This window comes from Homo sapiens, chromosome 2 (assembly GCF_000001405.40).
Source record: "Homo sapiens chromosome 2, GRCh38.p14 Primary Assembly".
NCBI classification, from domain to species: Eukaryota; Metazoa; Chordata; class Mammalia; order Primates; family Hominidae; genus Homo; species Homo sapiens.
The window spans coordinates 22358818-22363258 of NC_000002.12; the positions used below are offsets into that span (position 1 = coordinate 22358818).

At 37.3% G+C, this 4441-nt stretch overlaps 1 annotated feature.

Moving 5' to 3' along the window:
* Positions 331-910: an enhancer, noted in NCBI's record as "NANOG hESC enhancer chr2:22582020-22582599 (GRCh37/hg19 assembly coordinates)". NCBI's record gives its function as "activates a minimal SCP1, AML or CMV promoter by ChIP-STARR-seq in naive H9 embryonic stem cells {active_cell/tissue: H9 hESC(naive)}" and the evidence as "EXISTENCE:reporter gene assay evidence [ECO:0000049][PMID:30033119]".

The window sequence follows — 4441 nt, forward strand, 5'->3', positions numbered from 1 at the left end:
GCTCCTGCAAAAGTGAACTCATGGTTGCTTTAGAGTTGAAAATCGCTCTTCAAAGAGGTAGTCTATGGAAATCTTAGAACTGTCATGAACGAAATGGTCTTTTCATTGGAATATACTAGAGAGATTATTCAACTCACAATGATGGGATTTTTCTTTATGCCACGTCTCGTGATGGCAGCCACATTATCTAGCCTGTATTCTGCTCTGTGAGGATCTTGGGTTTTATGCAGACATTTATGAGGTGAGACAGCAGAGGGCTGTACCTGAGGACACACAGCTCAGGACAAAGCTCTAATTTGCCTGTTTACATTAATCAGCAGGCAGGAGAAGTGGTTTATCAAAGAGGCAGCCCTGCATTTCCTTCCCTTTCCATACCTTTCACACTTCCCATAGAAAATGCTCCTCCCCTGGTTGCAGCTTTCTGTAGCCAGAGGGCCCTGTGTATCCTTTCTCACCTTACTTTGTACATCCAGCTGAGCAAAGTTTATTATTCTGTTTTATGTACCATAATCTGTCATGGCTGAGTTTGTTATAACAAGATCTGAACAGATGGGGAATGGTTTGCTCAAGAATTACTTGCATATGAGTGACATATAGAAAAAAATTGGAAGCTGGAATGCAATCCCTGCAATACAATCCCAAACTCGTTATCCTCCCCACAGGATGCCCGTGTATCTTGCCCCCACATGAAGGTGTTAATGACTATTCCAAAGACCTATCAAGGAGTGTAGTCCTCTGGTAGAGAGCATACATACAAATAAAGGAGTCATACAGCACCAGAGAAAGGCAGCAACAATTTTTTGTCATAACTTGTCTTTCTAGTACATAGTTTTTTCCTGTCAAGTGACACATACTTGAAATACACAAACACAATCAGTTAACAAGGGAATAAAGATACTGCAAATAAAGCAATTTCCTTAGAACTGGAAAATCTCCAGAATTGGATAGATTCTTATCAGCATTTGATAAACTTTTTTTTTAAACACCTACTGAGTCCAATTTCGTAGTCCTCCGAAGTTCTTGCTAAGCATAACAGAGAAGATAATCAGAAATCCTTGTGCACAATATGCTGCCTAAAAGAGTATTAAAAAAAAAAAAAACAGTTCAGGCAATGAGGGCGCCATTAATCCTCTAATCCAACTGCCTGTATTTCTGTTGATTTCAGAAAAAAAAATGCCATATTAAGTTGTTAGTGCCCTCTACTCCAAAGAGATCATACAAATACATTTTAAAAATCCTTGTCTGCACAAGTTCTCTGTGGTTTAGTATGTTTTACAGTGACTGCTCAGTTAGATCCAGCCTGAAGCCATTTCTACATTTAAAAAACTATAGCATTAACTATATGATCTTTCAACAGCATTTATGGTCAAACTACATATTCTCTGCAGGACCTAAAATAACATGAATGGAGAAAATGAAGAAAATAAAGAGAAAATGAAATTTTACTTTTTATGAGATTCTTTCATGGGCTCCTCCTTTTGAAATGTACTATGTCTTTTAATCTACTTACCCACATCTTAGGCACTTTTCATCTCTGTCAAACCTGCTCTGAGATCTTTTTTACATATCAAAACTAGGGCATCATTTTTTGCCAGTATCTCAAAAGTTAACACTTGATTAAACTAAACCTCTATTGTCCTTTTCTGTTTTAGGTGAAATAGTTTCTTCTGTACAAGTAACATTGATTTCTTGAAGGTTAAAAACCATTGACTTTCATCTTCTATAGTTAACACTAAATATCATGAAATAAATAAATGCTAACTTCCTTAGTTAATACTTAATAGTAGAAGATCAATGTTTAAATTTCCTTTCTTATGGCCAATTTATACCACACCTCCTGAGAAACAGCACAAGGAATAGGAAGCTGTTTACTGAATGATTAGAACTCAAGATTTTTCATGAGTTGTGGTAACAGCAGATTTGAAGGTGTACTTTCTAGATATCGCACTACTCCACAGGTAGCTTAATGTCTTCTGAAAAGTTGAGCTTCAAACTTAGCATCCTGAAATTTTAATTGGTGCTCTACACTCTGAGTTCAGCATGGTTAGAAATCTAGAGTTTTAACACTGGAAACTTTCCCCACTGTGACTCACAAACGTTGCCAATCACATTCCAAAGCTACTCTAAAAAATGAGTCACCCAGGTAATGACACTTAACATTTCAACAGCTCCTTATCCCTGTTAGTTAATTATCCTGCAACACAGAAAATGACAATGGTTCTTATTTAAGAGGAAAATGAATGGTTTTGCTAAAGTTGAGAAAGTTGGTGAAATTGGACCCTAGAACACTGGGCATTTTGCCTCATATATCCCTGAGGGGATACATTTGCTCACTTCTTCGTTCTCTCCTCCCTAGCCATGCTAGCAACAAGAACTTTTCCCCTCAGCTATGCTGGCCTCTATTTACCAAGAATTCGGCAAGTATTCTTTCTTCAAACTTTCATCAAACTTTTCTTGCATTGCTTCCATGAACAAAGTAAATGACAGTGAGCAATTGAGGAGCATCAGACCAATGATTCTCATCTTTGCCTAAAATTAGGAAAACAATAATGGCTTGAACAGAAGAAGCAGCTGAAGGAAAACCGCATAGGGCCTTGCTGGTTTCCCACCAAATCTTTCACCTACCTAAGCACTGTCACTTACTCATCAACCCACCATCATCACCATCCCCATGGCTACACACAGGCACATATACACACCATGAATTACATATCTAGGGCTTTCAAAATGTGCTTTAAATATACATACTTAGTATCATATTCTTGTATGTTTTATAACTCACTTTTTTCTTAACAGTATGCATTTTAATTTCTCCAGAAGAGAAAGAGAGAAAAAGGGAGAAAGAAAGAGAGAAAAGAGGAAAGAAAGAAAGAAGAAAAGGGAAGGGAAAGGAAGGGAAAAGAAGCAGGAAAAAAATAAAGAAGAAAGGAAAGAAGGAATAAAATTTATTTATTTCAAATGCTCTAAAGTACTGTGAGACTGTTACATTTTATTAATTAAACTTAGTGTCCTGATAATTCATCATTAGGCTCGTTCCAGGTTATTTTCACAATTGCATACAATGTGTCCATGCTGGATGTGATGCGTGACCTTTTTATTCCTGCATCATTTATTAGTTTATCTTTACCTCACTGATTTGCTATTTTGTAAATAAGAAAATTTTATGCCGTTATCTTTTTAAATATTTCTTCTTCCCAGTTCTCATTTACCTCATGTTTTTGAACTATAAGGAGTGTTTTGGATCTTCCTAGATATCTTCTGTCTCTCCTAACTTCTTTTTTATTTCTTCTGTCTCTTTATATTTTAGGCTACATTCTTGACGATGATTCAGATCTATGATCTAGTTCACTAACTTTTTCTTTAGCTGTGCTATATTTCCATTTAACTCATATTGAGCTGTTATTTCTTTTCTTCTTTTTTAAATTTAACTTTCTTTTTTAAAATTTCAACATTCATTGTAGGCTTGGGGGGTACATGTGTAGGTTTGTAACATGGGTATCCTGCACCCAGGTAGTGAGCATAGTACCTAATAGATAGTTTTTCGACCCTTTCCCCTCTAGTAGTCCCAGGTCTATTGTTCCCATCTTTCTGTCCACATGGACATAATATATGCCCAGCTCTCACTTCTAAGCGAGAACATGCAGTATTTGATTTTCTGTTCCTGTGTTAATTCACTTAGGATAATGACCTCCAGCTGCATCCATGTTGCTGCAAATGACATGATTTTGTTTATTATGGCTGCATACTATTTTATGGCATATATGTACCACATATTCTTTACCTAGTCCATTATTGAAAGGCTTCTAGATTGATTCCATATCTTTCTTGTTGTAAATAGCTCTGCGATGAATATATGTGCACATGTGTCTCTATGGTAAAATGATTTATATTTCTTTGGGAGTATACCCAATTATGGAATTGCTGAGTTGAATGGTAATTCTGCTTTGAGTTCTTTGAGAAATTACCAAACTGCTTTCTCCAATGGCTGAACTAGTTCACATTCCCACCAGCAGTGTATAAGCATTCCCTTTTCTCTGCAACCACGCCTGCATCGGTTATTTTTTGACTTTTTAATAATAGCCATTATAACTGATGTGAGATGATATCTCATTGTGGTTGGTTTTATTTGCATTTCCGTAACAGTTAGTGATGCTGAACATTTTTTAATACGTCTGTTGGCTGCATGTATGTCTCCTTTTGTAAAGTGTCTGTGGCCGGGAGCGGTGGCTAACGCCTGTAATTCCAGCACTTTGGGAGGCCGAGGCGGGCAGATCACAAGGTCAGGAGATTGAGAACATCCCTGCCAATGTGGTGAAATCCCATCTCTACTAAAAATACAAAAATTAGCTGGGCGTGGTGGTGAGTGCCTGTAATCCCAGCTACTCGGGAGGCTGAGGCAGGAGAATGGCTTGAACCAGGGAGTTGGAGGTTGCCGTGAGCC